Genomic DNA, 24,792 nt, shown 5'->3' with positions numbered 1-24,792 from the left:
GCCACCTTAGTCTAGAAATGCAGGAATGCACCACTCTATGGCTGAAAGTTCATGGCATCTGTATTTTCACAGAGCTGAATAGAAATCCTGGCCCAACAGTATCTACTCTACGGGTATAAGTACTGGATAAATTAGTTAGCCACTTGGAGCTTCAGTTTTCTCATCTCTAAATTAAAAATACCTAAGTTAGCACTTATTTTGTAAGGACTTGTGGAGATTCAATATATATGAAGATTTTGGAACAGCTGTTTTCTTTCCACTACAGAAAGCTGTTATTACATAAGTTATAGGGATAAGGCACAGATATGTTAAAGTTTCCCTGATCACGTAATTGTCATGGAGAACTGGGTTCAGGTCTCTCAGGAATCCTCTAGGACACCAAGTGAAACATATCTCAAAAAAAAACCTCATCGGAGGGTTGAAAGGCTAGAGCATTTATACACTGACTCCAATTTCCCATTTGTTAAGGTTTGCTCCTGAGGCTTTCCTAGGGTTACGCAATTCTGGATTGTGCCTACTTACCCACTGAAGAAAACCTTCAGGCAAGGAAGAAGAAAAAACTGGATGCTTGGGGTGGGAAGCTGAGACCATGCTGGAAACTGCCTTGATGCATAAACTAAGGTGGGTCAAGGGATTATCAGGGCAGGTTATGGATAGCATCTAGTAAAGTGGTGAAGGGGCACTTATGCTAGGTTGGAAATCAGAAAACCTGGGACAAATTCCAACTCTAAATGTAACTAAATATGAGTCATTCACTCAACAGATATTAATTAAGCATCTACTAATTTCCAGATAATGTTCTCAGCAGTGAAGACAAAACAGTAAACAAAATAGATAAAATTTCTGTTTTTATGTTACTTAGAGTCTTTTGAATGCTCAAGTCCTATACTTACTAATTTGGAAAAAAGAAAAGGTAGTTTTATATTAGAATAGGGAACACATATATAGTGCTTATTATGAATAGGAAGATAAAATAAATAAGTAAGGCTGACTTGGTAGGGAAAGAATAGAAAATTCTTCTGTTTTTTACAGCTTACTCATTTGAGTCAGGATTCAAATAAAGCACATTCATAAGTCACTTTTAAAACATTATTTTATTTTAAGTTCCTGGATATATGTGCAGGATGTGCAGGTTTCTTACACGGGTAAACATGTGCCATGGTGGTTTGCTGAACCTATCAACCCATTACCTAGGTCATAAGTCACTTTTACTTTGTAGGCTTCCATCTCCATCTGTACTTTTTTTGCCTTGCAGGTCATTTGTTGAGGAAAAAGAGTTGTCTGACTTGTAGAATTCCTCACAAGCTGCTCCTGGTGATTGCATCTCCATGGTTGCTTGTAATGGTTTCTTATTAAATAGTACTTAGATCTAAAGGCTCAATATGATTCAGGGTGCATTGTTTCCCAAGATAACTTCACACATGGTGTTGTATGATTTCTTCATGAACTATCCAATGCTGGTTTGTCTCTTTGGGATGTTGGTAGCCATAGATGATTATTGCCTAGATCCATAAATCCATGAGCAGTTACAAAAATTGTCATATTCTAGTTCTGTCATTCCTAATCCTTTATTAGCTGAAACAAATGCTATTAGAAAAAGAAACTTATCAACAAATAGTTAACCTGAGATATAGATTATTATGAAAGGCAAAATAAATACTGTATTCTTTCTCTTTATTTACCAACTTTCAAAATAACAAGATAATTTTCTGATATCCTTCAAAAATATACAATAATGGAAAAACATGTGGAAAAATGATAAAGTATTTTTTATTTTTTGTTTTTTAACCTATTATAAACTAATGCATTTAAAATTTTTAATAAATATAAATACGTGACAATTATTATCTTTAATGATGCTCCAATTGTTCTGTCTTTGGCCAGGAAACATTTTCATGTCTTGAATCTTTTAATGTAAGGATATTTTGATATTTCTTGATTTCTGGAATGACAAGATGCTCCAATCAACTGTGACACAACTGCAATTAGCAAAGGATTCTTGATTCATTTTTTGACAGAAAATGGTAATTAGAGACCATAATCTGTATGTTAGAGGAGTTCATTACTATTAGATTAGCCATTGTTTCTAGATGTTTTCAGTGTGCAAAGCTAGAAGTCAACTTTGCTTTTGTTTATGTCACCATAGGTTTATTCTGATATTTTTTCAATTCAAACACAGAATGTAATTTTACTTAGTTTCATTGACCTTACATTTATATCTCCTTTTAAAATATGCTGAAACTCCACATTTTAAATGATATCCAAATAATTATTCATTTTATTTATGAGACAAAACAGCCCCAAAATTATAAAATCAATACTATATCCAACAAAATATTAAAAAATGTTTCAGTTAATTGTGTCCTCAGGGTATATCTCAGTACAGTCAAATTACCTTAAATTATTAGTTTAGTATTTTCTGTATGGTTTTCCACCACTGTACAGACTATTTTTTTATATAATTTATTTCATTTTCAATTATGAGAAACTATATTTTAAATATTGTCTTTTAATAAAATTACATAAAATATTTATCTAGTTACAAGGTCAAATCTATATATTAAGGTATATTTTTAAAAAGCTAGCTTCTCATAGGGAGCCTTCCACTCTGCTTTCTCCCTCCTATAAACTTTTTTTTAATGTAGAGCTTATCCTGCCATTGCTGTATTGTTTTAAATAAATTATTATACATTGACCTTCAAATACCACTTTCTTAAATAAAAGGTAGCATCCCCATATATTTTTTTCCAGCTTGCAATTTTTCTTTAATAACATATCCTGGAGATCTAACAGAATATAGAAATTGTCCTAATTCTTTTTTTCAACTATATAATATTCCACTGTGTGGTTATTTATTCAACCAGACCTTTACCAATGGACATTTGGATTGTATTCAATCTTTACAAATTTAAGATATTAACTCTTTTTTTCTGTGGTATAAGTTATAAAAAATAGATGTCAGTTTGATTTTGTATTTTTACTTTGCTTATAGTATTATTGCCATGCAAATATTGTAAAATCTTTTAAGCGAAACTTATCCATGGCTTCTATTATCATTTTTTATTTTATAGTCAGAAAAGTAATCTATTTTCCAAAATTTTAAATAGAGTCACTCAGGTTTTCATCTAGTACTTGAAAGGTCTCATTATATTATTTTTGTTTTGCTTTTACAAATCTCTGATGCATTTGGAACTTATTCTAAAATGAAGTGAAAAATGATCCATTATGCACTTTGATATAGCATATTAAAATAGCTCATATTAAAAAAAATCCCTCTCTTCACTAATTTAAGATGCCACATTTATCATATACTAAATTTTCATAAGAAATTATTTCTCTTGTGGGTTTTCAGTAGTTTTACATTAGCCTATTTACTCATTAAATTCCTGGACAAACTCAGTTATAATAGAGGCATTATGATATGTTTAATGCCTAATAGGGCTAACCTTCAGGTCCTTTTGTTATTTTTCTTTTTCAGAATTTTGCTTAATAGTTTTAATTATTTATTGTTTTAATTGAAACTTATAACCAATTTGTCCTGCTCCAAATCTGAAATTTTTTGTTTATGTTTTTCAGGTGTAAAATATCCTCTTCATAGAACTTTGGGACATCTTTTGTAAAATTTACACCCAGGTATTTTATTTTTATTTTTGCTGTTACAATATATTATTTTGTCTTCCATAATATCATCTATTAAGTTTTTGTTGGATAAATAAAGGCTGTTGATTTTTACATATTAACTGAACAACTTAATGCTTTATTAAGTTACTGTTTTTATTGTAGTTTTTTATTTTTTGGATTTTATATATAATCTGATAAAGTTTTACCTCTTTCCCTCCAATTCTCATGTTTCTAATGAATTTTCTTGTCTAATCGTATTCATTAATACTGCCATCACAATATTAAATACGGTGCTGGAGATCAAGTATACTGTTTTCTTGTTTCTGACATTAGTAGAAGGTCTCTAATGTTTCCACATGATGTAAGATGTTAGCTATGATAGATTTAATCATTTTCCCAAAGTCTTCACTCCATCCCCTTTGCAGACTATTTAGTCACACTCTTTGTCATGTGATTCAGAAAGGCCTGCCAGTAAAGATGTAAAGTGCACATGGTCTCCCCATTAGCCTTGAGTTTGTACATGTGACTTGTTTTATTGAAAGGATTGTTTGTCGATGTGATGCAAATACAGTTTTAAATATACTTGCATGGTTTGAGTTGGTCTTTTATGTTGCTGCCTTCTTTGATGAATAGAAAATGCCCCAAGTAATCAACTTTGCTCCCGAGTAAGAAAAAAAAATGACCTTATCCTATCCTGCAGACTGGAACTAAGCCCAGTTGATAACTACTGAGCCCAGTAAACTACAAATCTCCTGCAGACTTGTGTTTTTGTAAGCCACCGTGTTTTGGGTTTGTTCTTTACACAGCACTGTTGTAGCAATAGCTAATTAATATATTGTCCTTGAGGCTGAATTGTATACAGCAGTCTTCCCTTTTCCATGGTTTCTACTTTTGCAGTTTCAGTTTCCTGCGGTCAACTGAGGTTCAAAAATATTAAATGAAAAATTTCAGAAACAAATATTTCAAAAGTTTTAAATTGCATACAGTTTTGAGTAGCATGATGAAATCTCATGCCATCCCATTCCAACTTGCCCAGGCCATAAGTCATCCGTTTGTCCAGCGTATCCACAATATCAACATTATTTGTGCATTATTAATCATTTAATAGTTATCTCTATTATCAGACCAACTGTTGCAGTATCACACTGCTTGTGTTTAAGTAACCCTTATTTTACTTCGTAATAGCCCCAAAATGCAAGAATAGTGATTCTGGCAATTCAGACATGCAAAGTGAAGCTGTAAAGTGGTTATTTTAAGTTAAAAGGTGAAAGTTTTTAATAAGGAAAGAAAAATATATGTATATATGCTGAGATTGCTAAGAGCTATGGTAAGAACAAATTATCCATGTGTGAAACTGTAAAGAAGGAAAAAAAATCTTGCTTGTTTTTCTGATGCCCCTCAAACTACAAAAGTTACAGCCACTGTTTATAAGTGCTTAGTTAAGATGAAAAAGTCATTGAATTTGTGGGTGAAAGACATGAACAGAAGCACCTTCCAATTGATGACAATCAGGTTTGCTAGTATCTGAGGTTTCAGTCATCCACTGGGGGTGTTGGAATAAAACAAGGTATTGCAGATAAGGGAAGGCTACTGCATATACAATTGTGTGTGTGTGTATGTAAGTGTATGTGTGTATATATACACACATATACAGTATGTACATATATCTATAAGTTTTTAATAAAATCTTAATTACTTGCTATTTTATTATGTGTTTTGACTAAAAGGGTGTTAGATTGTATTAAATGCTTCTTTCTGCTTATAGAAGAATAATCATAAGATGTTTCCATGTCCAACTGTATTCTTGCTTTGAAAATATGAAATCTCAGGACAATAATTCATCTATAATATGAGATAATAGAAGAAAGTGAGTTTAAATTGTCCCTAATTCTCCATATACTCCGTTCTTGCCAAAGTGATCTTCAAGAATTCTATTGCTATAGTTTCAGACCAAAAGAAATTGCAGTGCAGCTATAACAAAAACAAAGTTTGAGGATCATTTTCTTCTGGAAAACAAGATCATTTAAAATTTTTATTTTGAATATTTATGCACTTCCAAAACAAGAGTTACTATGACATCATCAAGTTCTACCTTTTGACATAGGAAAAATACCCTCCCAAAATCATCAATTATTTTTCTCTATACCTCTATTTCAGCTAAATACCTAAGAAACGTATCATTTTCTTCATGTTATCATTTTACTTTTGGGTTTTCATTTTTTTCTTGCTCTAATAAAAATAAGGCAGAAACAACAGGAAAATTTTTCTTGTACATTTTTTCAGCCTTGTAGCAAGGCTAAAAGGAAGAAATGGATTATAAAATTAAAAGCTCTGCCTCCTTTATTCTTCAAAAAATGATAACACCTATTTCTTCAAAATAGAAAATTACTATGCATACATACAGAAAATTTGAAAAATATGGAAAAATAGAATTAAAAAGATGACAACACATACCGTAGAAATTTAATCACAGTTTACTTGTTAGTATTCTTTCTAGTTTTTCCTGTGTTTGCTACCCATAATACAATTGTATCTTAATTATTTTCACAAAACATTTCATAGTAAATCTATGCTGGCATCATTAGCAATACTTACAGATATCATTTTCAATTGAACTATAATATTTCTACTACTTCAAAGTATTAATATACAGTCAATCAGTCTTCTATCATTGGAATTTAAGATATCCCTCCTGTTTTTGTTCTTTACATAGTATTACTTGACAGGAAATTTAGAACATAAATTTTGGTTCACATTCTAGGGTATACTTTTAGGGGTGATCTCCAGAGAGGAATTACTAGTCATTAGATTACTAATATGTTGTGAGATATCAGGCAATCTCAATTAAACTATATACAAGCATAAAATGGCATCATCTTTACCTTTTGAATTTTGAATGAACAAATGGTGATGGGGCTGAAAAGGAAGGAAAACAATTAGGTATTTCATTACCTTCTAAGAAATATTGGTCAAATTTCCAAATCCTTATACCAAATTTTGGATGGTGCAGTCACAGTAAGCTGCCAGCAGAGAAGGTATGGTCCAAAAAATTATCCCAGTCTCTTTGCATTTCTCCTCCTGACCCTTTCTTCTCACCTTTTCTTAGCTTTCCCTCTCATCTTTCTTCTTTCCTCTCTGCAGAAGTAAATGAAACATGTAAAAGTATATGGAACAGCTTGTGCTTATTTGGACAACAAACGCAGTTATAGTACAATTTCATGTTCTCCTCTCTTCTGTCATCTGCTTCCCCACCTGACACTGACAGCCATTCAGGCTTCTTGGTGCAGCCAGCATCAGATGGTGTCCTCTCACTGCTTCTTTGGAAGTCTGTGTAGTATCTTCCTGCTTTGAGGCTTTCTATGTTGGGTTATTCTTCTTTCTGTTACCCCACATACAGTGAGCAATTTATACCAAATCTCATGGGTCTCCTCACTTATCTGGGCAGTTTTTGTAGGTAATCGATGAGATGTCTCAAGCTCTTCTTGCTTGACCCAATGGAAACATATCTTCTATTTTCCAGCTGAAACTCCGACTATTACCTGGCATGGTATCTCAGTTTTACCAACTGTCCTCTGTTCTAGTATTCATGCTCTGGAAGCAATAGATTCATCTCCTGGTGGTATCAGAGACACAATTCCAGGGAGAAAAAAAACAATCTTCAAAATTTTCAAAAAATATTCCCAGCCACATAGGCAGAACAAAGTACCCTATTGCTGTTTTCATTTGTACATATTTGATTCACCAATATGGTTAAAATTCTTGAAATAATTTTTATTGGTTTTAAAATATGTATTAGTCATTGTATTTTTCAATAGTAAACAATCTGTTCATGACTGCTGTTCATTTACTCTTTTGTCTACTTTCTTTTGGGAAGTGGAAATATATACATATGTATTTTGGCATAACATATATAATTTATATAATATACTTATTATTATAAAAGATATAAATAATAATTTTCCATATCCCTACTACCTGGAATTCACTGCTGTTAGTATTTTGCAATACACATTTTTTTTCAAGAGCTCTTGTGGTTTGCTAACCAATTTGTCAGAACTTGTTACTAAGGCTATTAAATATTTGTCATACTCACTGAAAATATTCCCCAGTTCTGTTATCATCAATAAATCTTTCAGATTTGTGCTGCTTTAGGTAGGCACCATTACAGGAAGGTTTTCTCTGTAAGTGAATATGCATGTGTGTTTTGCATAACTATGTGCAGTTGCTTCAGTTAAGCAACTGATGATGACAAGTCTAAGCCAGCAGACAGCTATTCTGTCCTGGGATATTTATTGAACCTTCATTTTTAAATTTCTACCCAGAATTCCCATCTGATTATTCAAAAAAAGAATAGGTGAGATATGACTTGGAATAACTAAATGAATAAATAGAAAGAATGAGAGCAAGAAACATGGAAGAAAGGGAGGACTCACAGATGCCCTATACATGAATAATGTTACTTCTATTTTACTTAAATAAATCAGAAGTACAAAACAATTACATGATTTGCCTAAGACAGGAAAAGGCAAGATTCAAATTCATGTCTGCTTGCTTTCCTAGTCTATTAGTCGATTTTCATGCTGCTAATAAAGACATATCTAAGACTGGGTAATTTATAAAGGAAAGAGGTTTAATGGACTCACAGTTTCACATGGCTGGGGAGGCCTCACAATCATTGTGGAAGGTGAAGGAAGAGCAAAGTCACGTCTTACAAGGCTACACGCAAGAGAACATGTGTAGGGGAACCTCCTTTTATAAAACCATCAGATCTCCTGACACTTATTCACTATCACGAAAACAGCACAGGAAAAACCCACCCCCACGATTCAATTACCTCCCATTGGATCCCTCCCTTTACACATGGGGATTATTACAATGTAAGGTGAGATTTGGGTGGAGACACAGAGCCAAACCATGTTACCTAGGGTCCTCCCACTGTAATAGTTGACTTTCCATCTTTAATGCCATTTTTAATCTTAAGTAAACTTTCAGTGCTTTTTTCTTCTCCCCTTTATTCATTTTGTTCCTTAGGTAAGAATAATACATTAACATCTGGGTCATGTTTTTAGGTTTACAGAGGACTTTAACATATACCAACTCATTTAATTTTCTCATCATCTCTATAAACAGATTTTCTTTTCTCCATTTTCAGCTCAGGACACAGGGTGGAAGAGATGATATCACTGGGGCACCCAGCTGGTTAGCAACAGATGTGAGACTCAAATATGGGTCTGATTCTTTATTTTCTTTTTCTTTCTTTGGTGCCTCCACCTCCTGCTTCTCAGCAACTGCAGAGATCTTTCAGTTCCTGGCACAAACAGCTTAGTGGAAACTTGGCTTGGAAACGATCACAGCAAAGCATTTTAGCACTTGCTGAGTTCTCTATCCACTACTTACTATCTCTGTGCTATGGCAAATTTTTCAGTTATCTAATTCAGGACTATGGGGATGATAATCACAGCTTGTCCATAAAGTGATTGTAAAAATATTAGAAAAGATATTAGGTAAAGAGATTGACCCATAGCCAAGCATATAGTAAAAGATTAATATGTACAAGCTAATGTTATTAGGACTATTTAACTAGCATCTGGAAATCAAAGTTTTAAAGTATTGGAGACTTAGAATAAACATGGAATAGGAGGAGTTGACCTAGAAGCTATCACCTGGAATTAACTACTGTTAGCCAAAGTGATCTCTATGTATTTGAAGATACTAATGCAAATGAATGCACTACAATACTGGAGATAGTTGCTCTTACCACTTTACCAAACATTTTAAACAAGGTTATTTGCCACTGTAGTGCACAGAGATTTCTGTAACATTTAGCACTTTGGTCATTAAATTTTATAAATCCAAATATACAGTTTCTCAATAAAAATGAGATGTCTCTAACTACATGTGTTCCTAGAGTTATTGTCCCTTAGCAACTCTAGTAAAGATTGCTAACGTTTACTGGTTGCTTTCTATGTGCCAGGCACATGTGCTAAACATTTTACAAGTGTTGTCTCCATAGACTCTCATGATAAATATCTCACAGATAGCTATCATTTTAGTCATTTTGAAAGTGCTGATCAGGCTTAATGAAGTTAAATTATTTGTCCAAGTTTTCATAGCTAATTAATAGTAGAGCAACATATCTATAAAGGACAATTGTTATTTTTTTTTTCCTTCTATGGAGAAACCCTTACTCCATGGAATAATCTAAAAACAGATCATTTCTCAAAAGAAAACAGAGAAGTCCAAATTTTTATTTTCACAGTCCCCTTGGCAACAAGAACATGGAAGGTGTGTCATCAAATCACACACCAGTCTTTGAATCTGTACTTCGTTTTGCAAAGATTCAGGGACGGTGGAGAATTCATTTTAGCACCAGAGACAGTGGCCAGAGGAGCAGAAATGTAGTGTCTACAAGGTACATTGGCCCTAGTGGTAGGAAGAGTACCCACTGTCTAATAACTTCAGTGTTTTAAGCAGAATTACCAAGCTGTATTAGTCAGTATTGACTTCGTTACTTAAATGGTTTGGCTCTATGTTCCCAACCAAGTCTCACCTTGAATTGTAATAATCTCCACATGTCAAGGGTGGGACCAGATGGAGATAATTGAACCATGGAGGCACAGTTTCCCCCATGCTATTCTGGTGATAGTGAGTTAGTTCTCACAAGATCTGATGGATTAATAAGAGGCTTCCCACTTTGCTTGGCACTCATTCTCTCTCCTGCCACCCTGTGAAGAGGTGCATTCCACCACAATTGCAAGTATCCTGAGGTTTCCCAAGCCATGTGGAACTGTGAGTCAGTTAAGACTCTCCTTTACAAATTACCCAGTCTTGAGCAGTTCTTTATAGCAGCATGAGAATGGACTAATACAGTCACTATAACAGATCTAACACCACCATCTAAACAAGCTTGTCCAATCTGCCGCCTGCCAGCCACATGCAGCACAGGATGGCTTTGAATGCAGCCCAACACAAATTCGTAAACTTTCTTGAAACATTTTGAGGCTGGGCACGGTGGCTCATGCCTGTAATCCCAACACTTTGGGAGGCCAAGGTGGGTGGATCACCTGAGGTCAGGAGTTTGAGACCAGCCTGGCCAACATGGTGAATCCCTGTCTCTACTGAAAACACAAAAATTAGCTGGGTGTGGGGGTGCATGCCTGGAGTCCCAGCTACTCGGGAGGCTGAGGCAGGAGAATCACTTGAACCTGAGAGGCGGAGGTTGCAATGAGCAGAGATTGTGCCGCTGCACTCCAACCTGGATGACAGAGCAAGACTCAGTCTCAAAAAAAAAAAAAAAAAAAAAAAAAAAAGGGAGATTTTTCTGTGATTTTTGAAGCTCATCAGCTATTGTTAGTGTCAGTGTATTTTATTTGTGGCCCAAGACAATTCTTCTTCCAATGTGGCCCTGGGAAACCAAAAGATTGGACACCCCTGAGTGAGCCAGAAGTGGGGGCTTTGCTCCACAAAGTCATTCAGGGACTGAAGTTCATTTCATCTAGTGATCCAGCCATTGCCCATGTGTAAGTTTGCTAAAGCTTTCATAACAGAGTCCCATAGACTGTGTGGCTTAAACAACAAAAATTTATTTCCTTACTGTTCTGGAGGATAAAAACCCAAGATCAAGGTGTTGGGAGGGTTGGTTTCTCCTGATGCCTTTCTCTTTGGCTTGTAGATAGGTATCTTTTTCCTGTGTTTCCGTATATGTCTGCGTCCTAATTTCTTTTCCTTAAAATGACATTATTCCGATTGGATTAGGGCCCACTCCAAAGGCCTCATTTTCATTTAATTATGTCTTTAAAGTCCCTATCTCTAAATGCAGTAAGATTCTGCATTATTTGGGGGGTTAAGACTTCAACATATGAATTTGGGGGAACACGCTAGCACTGCGGCACCTCAGAGTCTTCCACTTAATCTTCTGCATCTGGCCAGTAGATGAGCAGAATTGGAGACAGTGGTAGAGGATCATGCAGATTGTTTAGGGGCCACGTCTAGAAGTGCCTTACATCACCTCTGCCCAAATTCCATTGACTAGAACTCAGCCACATGGCTCCACCTACCTGCAAGGAACATGGAGCCCAATAGGCAACTATAGCAGGAATTTGGTGGTTGCTGCCTCTGCCATACAAAGACATAGCAGTAGTGTCCACAAGACCAATGGCTGTGACTCTGGCTACCTACTTTCTCTTCCTGAATGCCATGCTATTCAGAATTTTCAGAGTATTTCTTCAAAGAACTTCAAGTGAGGATGTTCCAGATGCTCCAGAATTAGTTAGTGGAACCCATAGAGGAAAACAAGAAGCACTAATAATTCCAAATTCCAAAAAGGTCTACCAGCAACTGGGTGAGATGACAGCATTTCCAGACTTTAGAAGGAGATGGGGGAATAAGCTGTACCACCATCAAACAGAAACCTAATCTACAGTCTTCCTGTTTGGGGCTGAATTGTGACCCCTCCAAATTCATATGTTAAAGCTCTAACCATCAGTACCTCAGAATGTGAGTGTATTTGGAAATAGGGTCTTTAATAAAGTGATTAAGTGTAAATAGGCTGGTACAATGTGTGTGGGCCCTTAATCAGTCTGACTGGTGTGCTTATAACAAGAGAACATTTGGATACACCAGGAGCATACATGCACAGGAAAAACACAGCAAGAAGGCAGCCATCTACAAGCTGAGTAGATGGGTTTCAGAAGGAAGCAAACCTGCCAATACCTTAATCTTGGACTTCTAACTTCAGAAATGTGAGAAAATGAATTTCTATTGTTTAGGTCAACCATTTCAGCAGTACTTGGTAATTACACTTCTAGGAACCTAAAGCACCACTTTTTCTATAAAAGATAATGAGGTGCTCAGTGATGGAGGGTTACTATCAGAGTTGGGGTTAGGGTTAGGCAGAGAGGACTGGGTAAGAGTAAACACTGCTCTAAATATATCCAACATCTACACATTGACCTGAACATTGGCAAAATTCTTCAGCTCCAGATGTAACCCTATGAGCTAAAGACAGAATAAGTCAATCACCAGGTACCTTCCTACCACTGACATAGAGCCAGTTACAAGACAATCCCAAGTGCTATGGTTTGAATGTGTCCCCCAAAGTTCATGTGTTGAAAACTAAATCCCCAATGAAACAGTGTTGAGAGGTGGGACGTTCAAGAGGTGATGAATGGATTAATGTCACTGTCACAAGAGGAGAATCATTATGGCAAAAGTGGATTTGTTATAAAAGAGTTCAGTCCTCTCTTCATCACTTTCTCTTGCCCTCTCATAACCTCTCACCTCCACTATGGGATGTTGCAGCAAGATTCCCCTCACCAGCTGTGACTCTTTAATCTTTGATTTCCCAGTGTTCAGAACCATAAACCAAATAAATGTATGTTCATTGCAAATTACCTAGTCTGTGGTATTCCATTATAGCAGCCTAAAATAGACTATGACATCAAGTCATTCCTTAGATGTCCTATCTCCTTCCAATATAAAGATAAAAAAAAAAAAGCAGAACTGAAAAACAAATTGCAGCCATCTTCTAACCCTTGGCTCAGTCCTTATTCTAACAGCCAGTAGCCTGTGATGAAGAAGAAAGCTTTAATTGGATATGACATTACAGTTTTAACTTAGAATGGGCTGAGTTTTAATGTTATCACTGACAAATAACCATAAATTTTATAAAATACCAAAAATGTCATCAAGAAAAAGGAATGCACGTTTCATATAGTACAATTAAATCCATGACTGGAAACATATAATACCACTTCATGTTTGCACATAGCTAAGTATAGACTCCTCAATAATCCTCTTACACTTGCACCAAGAACCTTGAGCAGTAGTTTCAAGTTCTGCTAGTGGTTTCTACAACTGGAACCATTTTCTACCATGCTTCTTTCCTGCTCAAATATTCTCTATAAACACCATCTGCTCATCAGATTAAATCCAAATTTCCCCTCTCTGGGATTCCCAACATGGCCCCAACCTGGCTCTTCAGCATTAGTCCACATTCTCCTCTGTCCATGCTCCAGGTTCCACCTGCCTCCTCCCAATCTATACCTTCCAGTCTCCAAGTGTAGTACTTTGCTAGACCTGCCATAACAAAGTCCCACAAACTGGGGGATTTAAACAAAAGTAATTTATTATTCCACAGTTCTGGATGTCAGAAGTTTGCAATCAAGGTGGCTGCAGGGTTTGTTCCTTCTGAGGGCTGTGAGCCATTTTGCTCTTAATATCCTCTGCCTCTCAACAAAATATACCATCTTCTTTCAAATATCCATTATACTTAGCTTTTATTTTTCTCGTAGCACTTATTTCCGACCTCTTATCATATGTTGTGTATGCCTCTTCCCCTTAACAAGCAGTGGCTGACTTCTGCATTGTCCAACTCTCATCCTGTGTAGTGCCAAATCCAGGTATTGGTATTTGGGAATTGAATAGGGAAATGTTTGTGTACATGGCTATTCATTTGACAGACAATTAGGGCAACCAGTCTGAAGAGCAATAGTTATCATTCACTTGCATTTGTATCTTCAATACTGGATGCAGTGCCTGGCACAGAAGCATTACATTAAAATGAATGAATGTTTGCTTTTTTTTTTTTTTTCTAAAATACTATATTCCAGGGAAAAGAGAGGAAAACAACTAACACAGAAGTTCAACAAAGCTAAATCCTTGCTACACAAGTCCTGCCAGCATCTCATTGCCATGTTCCTCTGGACTGCAGAGTTAGGCTTGCAGTCTTGGGTGGAGTGAGCTCCTTTCAGGAAAGGCATCTATAGGGATCACTTTGGCTAGCAGTACCTCATAGTAAGTGAGGAGTCTGCCTCTATAACATATTCCTTTAAGGTTTGCATTGGTGCACATAGAGGGACAGAATGAAATGACCAAAAAATCATTTTATACTGAGATGTGTTGGTTTGTCTAGCAGAAACTCATTGGGAATGATAGCATGAATAAAGAGAAAGGTGAAGAGAGATTTCATTAGTTATCATGATTCCATTATAGCAAGTCAGGAGAGAAAAATCTATGATTTTCTGGACCTGAGTGGGTCCTTGCCTCTGCCCAGCATGCTACACTCTTTTTACGGTTCTGTGATGGTGGGGTTAAGATGCAAATGATCTGAACAATGTTTTAATATAGGTTTCATTCTATTTTTAATAGGTATGATAAGGCCAGGGAATCAAGAGAGGATGCTATTATTTTGTTTTATTATTTATTAATTTTTTTTTTTTTTGAGACGGAGTTTCCACTCTTGTTGCCCGGGCTGGAGTGCAATGGCACGATCTCAGCTCACTGCAACCTCTGCCTCCCAGGTTCAAGCGATTCTCCTGCTTCAGCCTCCCTAGTAGCTGGGATTACAGGGATGCACCACCACGCCTGGCTAATTTTTTTGTATTTTGGTAGTGACGGGGTTTCTCCATGTTGGTCAGGCTGGTCTTGAACTTCTGACCTCAGGTGATCCGCCAGCCTCGGCCTCCCAAAGTGCTGGGATTACAGGCGTGAGCCACAGTGCCCGGCTGAGAGGACGCTATTAAAAAGATAGTTTCTTGTACTCATAGATCCCAAGAAGCGGGGATATACTACCTACACTATGGGGGGTGGGGCACACAGGAAGCACCGGGGTTGGTTAGAAGGCAGAGGGAGGGGGGAAACTGGGTAAGAGCCTTTATTGTGGATTCCACTGGAATCAAGAAACAAGCAAAGCAATTTGGTTTAGAATTGGCTAATTTGAATAAATAATTTTAGGGCTCTGGGACATAGGGACTGTCCCTGTGATCTGATATTTGGCCCTGGAGTGATTAGGTCAGGTGGCTCCATAGTGGCCCAGAATGTGAGAGCCCAGTAAAGGAGTTGGCTGGGAAGTGTACTCTAGATCGGTTGCTTTGCATCTGAACAGAGGGCTCAGCAGGTAGTAGTTTACTGTCTCTAGGAGTTAGCTAACCCTGGGAGGGGCAGGCCTTTCAGAGTAAGCAAGGCCTAGACGTCAAACCATAAGATACAGAAAATAAGGGACATGGTTCATGCAAAGAGTCAAGCTCTGAGCTGCCACCACCCCTTTTAAATACAGCACCTAAAACATAAATTTTACTTACCTGCATGATTTCCCTTGATCTTTATACTAAGCCTTCAAAACAGGTATTTATATTCCCATTTTACACAAGAGAAATTCAAGACTTACACAGGTCAAATAATTTTCCCAAGTTCCTACAGACGAAGTGCTTAGGAAGTTACTTCACCTCTTCAAGTTGAAGGGTAATTTTGTTTTCCATGTTACAATATTACGGTCATATTTGCTTATTGTTTCTAGGGGCTGTTGATAACAAATCTGTGTGAAAGTAAGTGGGGTAAAGTCTTGAAAACCATGATTTGGCTTACATATGAGGCAGAACCAACACCTCAGTGGCAACAGAAAAATCTCCATGTTATTCTAAGAGCCCTAAAAGAACCAGGGCCTTCAGAGCCTGTGTCAGTGGTTCTTCATCTGTTTTATTTTATTTTATTTTATTTGCATCTTCAAAGATTTTAAATAGGGACTATTTAATGGTCTAGAACATAACTAGTGTTTTTTTTATTTCCACAGTCCCTTGGCCACGAAGTCAGCAGTTATATCCAGACACACAAGTTTCACTGCTTCACTGACATTTGGTTTGTTTCTGTGGTTAGTCATTACAAAGGTGGGTTCCAGCAATCTTGCAAATGAGATTGGTTTTCTCCCTACTCTCACCTGCTATGAGCATCAAATATTGACAAAGCGAGGCAAAATAAACAATTGAAGGGCTCTTAATGGCCCTGGGATACACTCATAATGGAGTTACACAGATCGGAGTGTATACATTACCTCTTTATCCACCATTTCCACAGAGGACACAGAGACTTTTAAACAAACTATAAAAAGATGTTAGGAGGAATTTCTGTGCTAAGAAGCTCAAGCCATTGCCTTTCTACAGTTGCTCAGTATTACTGTTTACAAGTGCTGGCAAGTGCTACAGACACAGAAATGAGTTGAGACAAGATGGCAAATAAAAGGACTTTCAGGTGCCTCCAGACACAGCATTCCATACTGTTACAAACGTTTCATTTTTTTCTTTTCTTTTTTTTTTATTTTTTTTTTTTTTTAGATAGTCTCGCTCTGTCGCCCAGGCTGGAGTGCAGTGGTGCGATCTTGGCTCACTGCAAGCTCCAATGCCATTCTCCTGCCTCAGCCTCCCGAGTAGCTGGACTACAGGCACTCGCCACCAAATCCAGCTAATTTTTTTTTTTTTGGCATTTTTAGTAGAGATGGGGTTTCACCCTGTTATCCAGGATGGTCTCGATTTCCTGACCTCGTGATCCACCCGCCTTGGCCTCCCAAAGTACTGGGGCTACAAGTGTGAGCCACCGCGCCCTGCCACAGACTTTTCATTTCTGTAAGAAAGTGCCAAATGGTCTCAGTTTTATGCAGGTATTACATAGCCACAGGACACTCTGTTTTAGGGGAAATCAAAGGCAAAGAGGCTGTAGATAATATTGGTATGGCGCAAAGGCTTTTATGTCTGAGTCTAGGTTTCAGTCTAAATCCTTACACCTTCTAGTCGTATGACCTCAAACAAGTTATAGCTGTGAGCCTCCATTGACTCAACTGTCAATTGGAAATTATATTCTCCAGGGCTGGCTGCTTTGGGAGCTAAATGAATGTGTAAATATAAGGAGTTTATTTCAGTGTCTGGTATGTATGAAGCACACAATAAAATTTTAGCTGTTGATAATTATGTGTGTGTATATATATATATTTATTATGTATATATATCTACATAATTACATATATGCGTATATCTACATATTACCTATATCTACATATATATGGCTTTCTATTGGGAGTCGGTGATAACAGCCAGCTTTTTTGTTGTTTTTCATTTCTTTTTTATGTATTGTTTTGTTACTAAAGAAAGAGAATTTAAGTTTCCAAGGTTTGCCTCATAAAGCAGGGCAACCCTAGTGTGCTCAGGATTGTTATGAATGTTAGAGCTAGAAGAATCCTCACCACCCTTTAGTCCAACCTCTTATTACACAAGTGGAAAGTAGAGAGCATGATCTAAATATCACTTTGTTACCATGGAGAAAGTGGAGCTAAAATAATGATATAAATGTTAGTTTGGTAGAGACAAACATGCCTCGGGAAGAGTATAAATTCTTTAACAGAGCATAAACACAAAAGTTGATCAGTCTCAAAGCTAGTACCTTTGAGCAAAAAGCTACAGAGACTTAAAAGGAGCAAAATTCTGAATCTTGTGTCATAGCCTTCTACTTCACACTTTACTTAGAGAAATGTTCTTCTATTAATATTAAGCAAGACGATATTGTTATTTGAGACTGCCTTTGCAGTATACAGGATATATGTGGTAAAAACACTTTCATAACCCTGTTGAGAGAAAAATGTTTTATTCATTCACACTGGAGCTCTGCTGGGTCCTCAAGGATGTGGCTGAAGCAACCCCTTACGATATTTGCAGGGGTAATAATTCCTCTGTTTTGCAGACTTCTTGCTGTGTGCTCACAAGGCCGAAAGGTCCTGCTGGCTCTCTGGCCTCTTCTTATAAGGACACTAATCCCCTTCATGAGGGCTCTGCTTCACAATCTCATTACCTACCAGTGTACCAGTGATCCCATCTCCAGATGCTCTTACATTGGAACTAGGGTTTCAACATATGAATTTGGGGAGGACACAAACATTCAGTCCCCTGCACCGCTTCTCCCAAGAAGAGAGCTGCAAAACATGGCAACACTGAGAAAAACCTAGGTAAAGTGGTTTTAGCATTTCTAAGAAAGAATCAGAAGTTTCTATTTGTTAACTCTAATGATTATATATTGATTACATATTGATGATTAAGCTGATCACATAGCAAATATAGTAACATTTTCTTTCTAGTGTACATACTTTTTCAAGAAAAGCATATTGGGCCTTCATTCATCCCAAGGTTTCATTATCAACAGTTATCTGAAGTGAGTAACTCTCTGAGTTAATCTGTTACTATTAAGTCCAGAATTAATCAAGGCTTATAAATAGCCCATACAGCCATAGTTTCTTTTTAAAGGTTTTATTACTGCTAAGTGGTAGTCCCACAAAAATGAACATAGAATAACAGTTGATATATCAGTACCAAGAATATGTTCTTGTTTACATGTCGGATATAATCTAAAAGTCTGGAAAGAGGCAAATTTTGACCAAGCATCTGCAATTTAGCAAGGCTGAGTCTGATTTTTGGCAATGAACCCATATTGAGCAAGGAGAGACCTGGCCATGCCCATGGGCAAACTTCTTCCACAATGTTCTTCAGGTTAACTTTGTCTCTAGTGCTTTCAGCAAGATTGCTTGCATGATAATGGTGAGATGCAAGAGAGATAATTAAAAAAAGAAGGCTGTTATCCAAAATAGTCTTAAAACCCAGTAGAGATTGTCATAAACCCATGTCCAGAAATTATATCACCTGTCAGTCTCTATGATGCAAACAAGAAGTTGTAGAGAACATCCAAAGAAAGGCAGTAAACAGAAGTCTTGAGCTTCGAAGAAGCTAATGAGTAGCATAACAGGAAGAGATAGCAGGCAACCAGTGGCAGAAATGAAGAAATTAAATTACATGTATATTAAACTATTAGAACCTCAGCTGTATTGTGAATAGTGATACCCAGTTCTCTGGACAACTATTGGATTGTTGCTGGAACTATTTTCAGTCTTCCTGAATTCCTTTACAGCCTTATCAAAACAAACAAATACAAAAATAGAAACCACCATATCTTTCACCATATCTACATGGATTCTCAGGGTTTGGCCCCTGCCAACTCCCCAGCGTCACCTCTTCCCATTCTATCTACAGCCACACCCACTCTGGCGACAGGCATCACACAGGTCCCTGCTAGCTCATTTTTATTCCTATTCATCCTCCATATCTCAACTTACTTCCTCTAAGAGGCCTTCTCTGAACCATTGAGCTGCATTACATGTTCATAGGTATTAGGCAAGCTTCAACCAGAGCAGCTGAATTTGACACATGTAGCATGCATACACATACATATTTATATACATGCATATGCATATACAAACATGCACCTGTATATGTGTCACGCATATCATGGGTATGTATATATTCATGTGTGTGTGCATGGATTTATTATAGGGAGTTGCTATACACAATTGTGGGGGCGGACTAAGCCAGCTTGACAGGACAGGCAGTTAGGAAGGGAAGATCCAAGGGGAAAGGAAAGCAATTACAGGCACAGATAATGCTTGGAATATCTGATTATGAAGATGCTTTTTAAAGTCTCTTTGTGAAACCACACTCATCTAGAATAACTATCTCTTGATCAACTAAAAAGTTCAATTAATTTGGAACTTTATATCACATTGATAAAATTCCTTTAATGAAGCACTGACGCTAGCATTTGATTAACTGGGAAAAGGTGTGTGTTGTTACAGCATGGCTGAAGCCTCCCTTCCTGCTCTCTAATCTGAAAAAAAAAAAAAAAAAATCTTTGCAGCAAAACCTAACTGGAAACCTGGAAACAAACGCAACAGAAAGAGAATTCTGGGGAGTAAAGCTTAGCCAAGCTGATCTTTCACAAAGCCGCCATATCACTGCTTTCAGTCCCCTTGCTTTAATTGCACTTCTCACAAAATCAAATCACTCATGCACTTACATCCGTCTTCCCCAGAAAACTCTGTGCTCTCTGAGGGCAAGTGCAGTATCTGTTTCATAGAATATAATATCCTGACCACCAGCACAGTTTCTGCACAAAACAGAAGTCAATAAATATCCAATGAACGAACAGAAGAATGAATGAATGTAGTTATGTGATTGTATCTCAACCTTTTTGTCAAGCCTATGCGACCCTAACTACCACCACAGCAGCCAGGGAAATTATCCATGTAATGAGGAAAATAATCTCCATGGGATGAGTGGACACATAAATATAAAGCCACATCCATTTTAGTTAATTCTTTTTTCATCTCTTCTTCCAGACCAGCATAGTTCTTTCAAGCTGGCCAAGGTTTTTGAAGCAGAAACGGATCCAATAACTGATTCATTGAACCAGTATTGACAGAGCACCCAGTTCATGCCAGGGACTATGTGAGGCACCTGAGAAACAAAGATGACAAAGAACAAGGGCCTGTTCTTCAGTGGCTCACAGCACAGTGAAGAACAGGCAGGCAGGTCTAATGACCCATTAATAACTACAGAACTATGCTGGTTGCCCACGCAGGTTGATATGGTTTGGCTCTGTCCCCACCCAAATCTCATCTTGAATTGTTGCTCCCATAATTCCCATGAGTCATGGGAGGGACTGTGGGAGGTAATTGAATCACAGGGGTGGGTCTTTTTCATGCAGTTCTCATGATAGTGATTAAGTCTCATGAAATCTGATGGTTTTATAAATGGGAATTGCCCTACACAAGCTCTCTTACTTGCCACCTTGTAAGACGTGACTTTGCTCTCTGCCGTGATTGTGAGGCCTCCACAGTCACATGGGACTATGAGTTAAACCTCTTTCCCTTATAAATTATCCAGTCTTGGGTATGACTTTATAAGCAGCATGATAACAGACTAATACACGGGACATACTGGAGGGAAGAATAAGTCATGAATTCTCTCTGCTCAGGAGTCAGAGAAGATGTTACAGAAGCCATATGCTAAAAAATGCTTCACTCTAGTTTGGTAGTCCAGAGTGGTATAAGGGGCTGCAGAGGGAGGGTGCAGCATGAGCAAAGCCCCAAATGTACTGGGAGAATTGGAGAATACGTTTATTTTATTATGCATTTATTGGGGGAAGGCTGGATATAGGAGCCACTGAGCCAGTTAAAGCTAGAGGTGGAGTAAGTCACAGACAGTTCTCCCACATCACAATGACCATAAGAATCTCTGATCCTAACCTATCCTTTTGTCATACACACTGAGAAACCTGAAAGCTTTGGAATCCTCTTTGACCCCCAACTAGGTCTGCATAATTTTTTTCCTTGAAATAATTGAAAGACATCATGTTCAATCTCCCTCCTAATCTCTGGTGCACAAGTCCATTTCGCACATGCTGCAGGATCAGTTTCCTGAGTGCCCAGGGCAAGGTCAGTAGGATGTGCTCAATTTTTATTAATGAATAAGTAAGTTCTGGATCAATGCATAAACATTTATCAACTATGCCTTGAGGCAATCAAAGTAACTCTTGTTGACATGTTTCATATCATCCTAAGCAGATGTCTGGAGCTAATCCAGAGGTTCTCAAACTCAACTCTTTTATTTATTTATTTATTTAGAAACAGAATCTCACTCTGTCACCCAGGTAGGAGTGCAGTGGCACAATCTCAGCTCACTGCAACCTCCACCTCCTAGGCTCAACCAATTCTCCCACCTCAGTCCCCCAAGTAGCTGGGACTACTGGAGTGTGCCACCACACCCAGCTAATTAAGCTTAACTCTTTTAACATTTTTGGGCCAGATGATTCTTTGTCATGGTGACCATCTTATGTTTTGTAGGCTGTTCATCAGCATTTCTTGCTTCTACCTACCAGATCACCAGCACCCTCTTTCTTCCCAAATTCTGAAATCTGGAAGTGTCCTCTGATGTTCCTAAATGACCCTTGTGGGGCAAAATCACCCACGATTGAGAGCCATTGACCTAATTCCATATTTTTCCAGTATATTTGATATATGCCAATGGCCTCTTCTTATAAATGCAGTAAGTTTTCATGGAGTTACTAATATTTTTTCACTGTCACAGATGATATTAATTAAATGCTATTTTCCAGAAACTCTATGAAGGGGTGACTGTTATTCACATCATTTTATAGATAGGAAACGTAGGGCCATGGCATTTAAATGTTTCCTATGGGATACAGCAAATGAGGAGTGAAACCAGAATTGGATCCATTCTGTCTGATTTCAAAGATGAATCTCTTAGCATCTCTGATACACTATTTCCCAAGCAAGAAAAGCCTAGACTTTTAAGAGAGTTTTATAGGAATGCCAGGAAACCCATTAAAACCTAGTCTAACCAACTCAGCATGGAAAGCAGAATCCACCAGATGTTTAATGGTTTGCCAACTTGAATATTAAGTGTTGAGATAAAATGAGTGAAGACCAAGTCAGAGGAACATCTGCTGAAATGTCTTATCTGACGGCCAATCCAAGCCAGGATAAGTTGTGTCTATTTCTCCTAGGGGACTCTGCACTTTCCTCATCATAACACATCACCCATTACATCGCCAATGTATCCTGATTTACATGCCTGTTCTGCTAGACTGGGAACTTCTTGAGAGCTGAAACATTTTTACTCTTTTTTTTTTTTTTTTTTTTTGCAAAAAACAAGTATTTTTTTCCATATACACATAGTAGGAATTCAATCAAAGCTGGTTGAATGAATGAATAAACAAAGAAATAAATCCCAGATATATAGAGAACTGTAAACATGCAGAATGGGAGTTACAAATGGCTCCTGGCAGCCCAGGTACGAATGAAAGTCTGTCAACCACTTACAGAAAGAGTTTTCTATTATCCAGACAGGAAGCTGCTGGGAAAAAGTACGTACATTTAAAGCAACAAATAAAGAAAAAATTGGACTCAAATCAATAAAAATTGTCCATCCTCTTTTTAGTTTCATAATTTAGGCCACAGCTGACCCAAACCACAAAACTCAATTCCACCTTCATTTAGGACAATTACCTGCCTTGTTAAATATTCAAAGGCACTGCCCCTCCGGAAAGGGCGTGCGTACTTTAGCACCACAAATCCATCCACAATGCCTCTGTGTGTACAGCCTGTTGAAAGAGATTACAAAACACAGCGCCTGGTTTGACAAGTTTCCCAGACTTGAAGCTGGCAGCTGGGGGCAATTAGGTGGCCCTCTCTGTCCCCACCACCCACAGCTCTGGACTCAGAGAATTGCTCCTTTATTCTCAGAATGAATTGCTGACTTGAAAGATTTCCTGATATATCCTTCCCTCCACAATTTTCATTTTGTCTTAAATGATGATCTGAATACTCTTTTGTCAGAGCTGTTGGAGCCCAGAGTTACACTGTCTTGATGAGACACCTGAAGAACAAGGAGGAGAGATGACTTGCCCAACATCCCTCAGGGAGGTAGTACAGAACTGGAGTCAGCTCTGAAAATGTTGGGCAGAAAGAACTGGTTGAGCTGAGAAACTAATGGGTCAGATCTTCCACTAGACCTAAAGGTAGGCTCATTGGAAACACTGATCAAGCAGGCTGGAGTCAGGTTGGGAAATCCTGTAACTGGCAGTGGTAGTTATTCAGGATGTCTGTAATTATTTATTCATTTATTTTTGCACTTGTCAAATATTATAGTACACCTACTATGTGCTAGGTAACATGCAAGTTTCTGGAGATAAGTGATGAACCAGGCAGACACAAACAGAGCAAACAGGCTAGCAGAAAATAGAGATAATATAATATACAACATACTACATGATACAATGCAATGGAATATAATATATTATATTATGGTATATAATAGCATATATAATTACATGTGATATCATAAGATACATATTATCTTAATACACTCAGGCTGCCATAGTAAAATATCATAGACTGGGTGACCTAAATGACAGAAATTTATTTTTTCACAGTTCTAGAGGCTGGAAGTCTCAGATCCTTGTACCAGCATGGTTGGGTTCTGGTGAGAGCTCTCTTCTGCTGGCAGATGGCCTTCTTCTTGCTGTGTTTTCACATGGCAGAGAGAAAGAGAACAAGATCTCTAGTGTCTCTTCTTGTAAGAGACACTATAGTGTCTCTTACATGATGTTGCAGGACTTTTCCTTAGTTTAGCTAAAGATAGGGTTCTTCTCTGTCCCACAGCCACAGAAGTTTAGGCTCGTAGTTTAAGGGGTGAGTAAAGCAGGTTTTTATTGGGTGAAAAGGAAAAAAAAAAAAAAAGAGGGGGAAACAGAGATCCTCCGCAAGGTCAGAGTCCCTGCTAGAGTGTTTCCCACCTGCCATTGGAATACCAGATTCCACACAGGAAAGGGTGAGGCCAGGCTCCTCCCTGATGCAAAGGGCAGGAACTTGCAAAGGCTCCACCTCATTGGGCAGGCTGGTTGGAGTTTGTCCGGGGACCCCCTCCCACCTTGGTGTCTCTGTGAGGGCCCCACCCTCATGTCCTCATCTGAATCTAATTATCTCCCAAAGGCTTCATCTCCAAA

At 37.7% G+C, this 24,792-nt stretch overlaps 1 long non-coding RNA gene across 1 annotated transcript in view, besides 1 other annotated feature; it reads right to left on the bottom strand.

The window, feature by feature from the left end:
* Positions 1 to 5,620: 5,620 nt before the first annotated feature.
* LOC124900670 (uncharacterized) overlaps positions 5,621 to 24,792 on the bottom strand; it is a 70,810-nt gene continuing 51,638 nt past the window's right edge. Inside the window, exon 2 of the long non-coding RNA XR_007058058.1 lies at positions 5,621 to 7,234. This is a non-coding gene — a long non-coding RNA (uncharacterized LOC124900670). The remainder of the gene's footprint in view (positions 7,235 to 24,792) is intronic.
* Positions 14,982 to 15,786: an enhancer, noted in NCBI's record as "OCT4-NANOG hESC enhancer chr4:14228109-14228913 (GRCh37/hg19 assembly coordinates)". NCBI's record gives its function as "activates a minimal SCP1, AML or CMV promoter by ChIP-STARR-seq in naive and primed H9 embryonic stem cells {active_cell/tissue: H9 hESC(naive and primed)}" and the evidence as "EXISTENCE:reporter gene assay evidence [ECO:0000049][PMID:30033119]".

Source organism: Homo sapiens, chromosome 4 (assembly GCF_000001405.40).
Source record: "Homo sapiens chromosome 4, GRCh38.p14 Primary Assembly".
Classification (NCBI taxonomy): Eukaryota; Metazoa; Chordata; class Mammalia; order Primates; family Hominidae; genus Homo; species Homo sapiens.
This window is presented reverse-complemented; position numbering and strand designations above follow the sequence as displayed.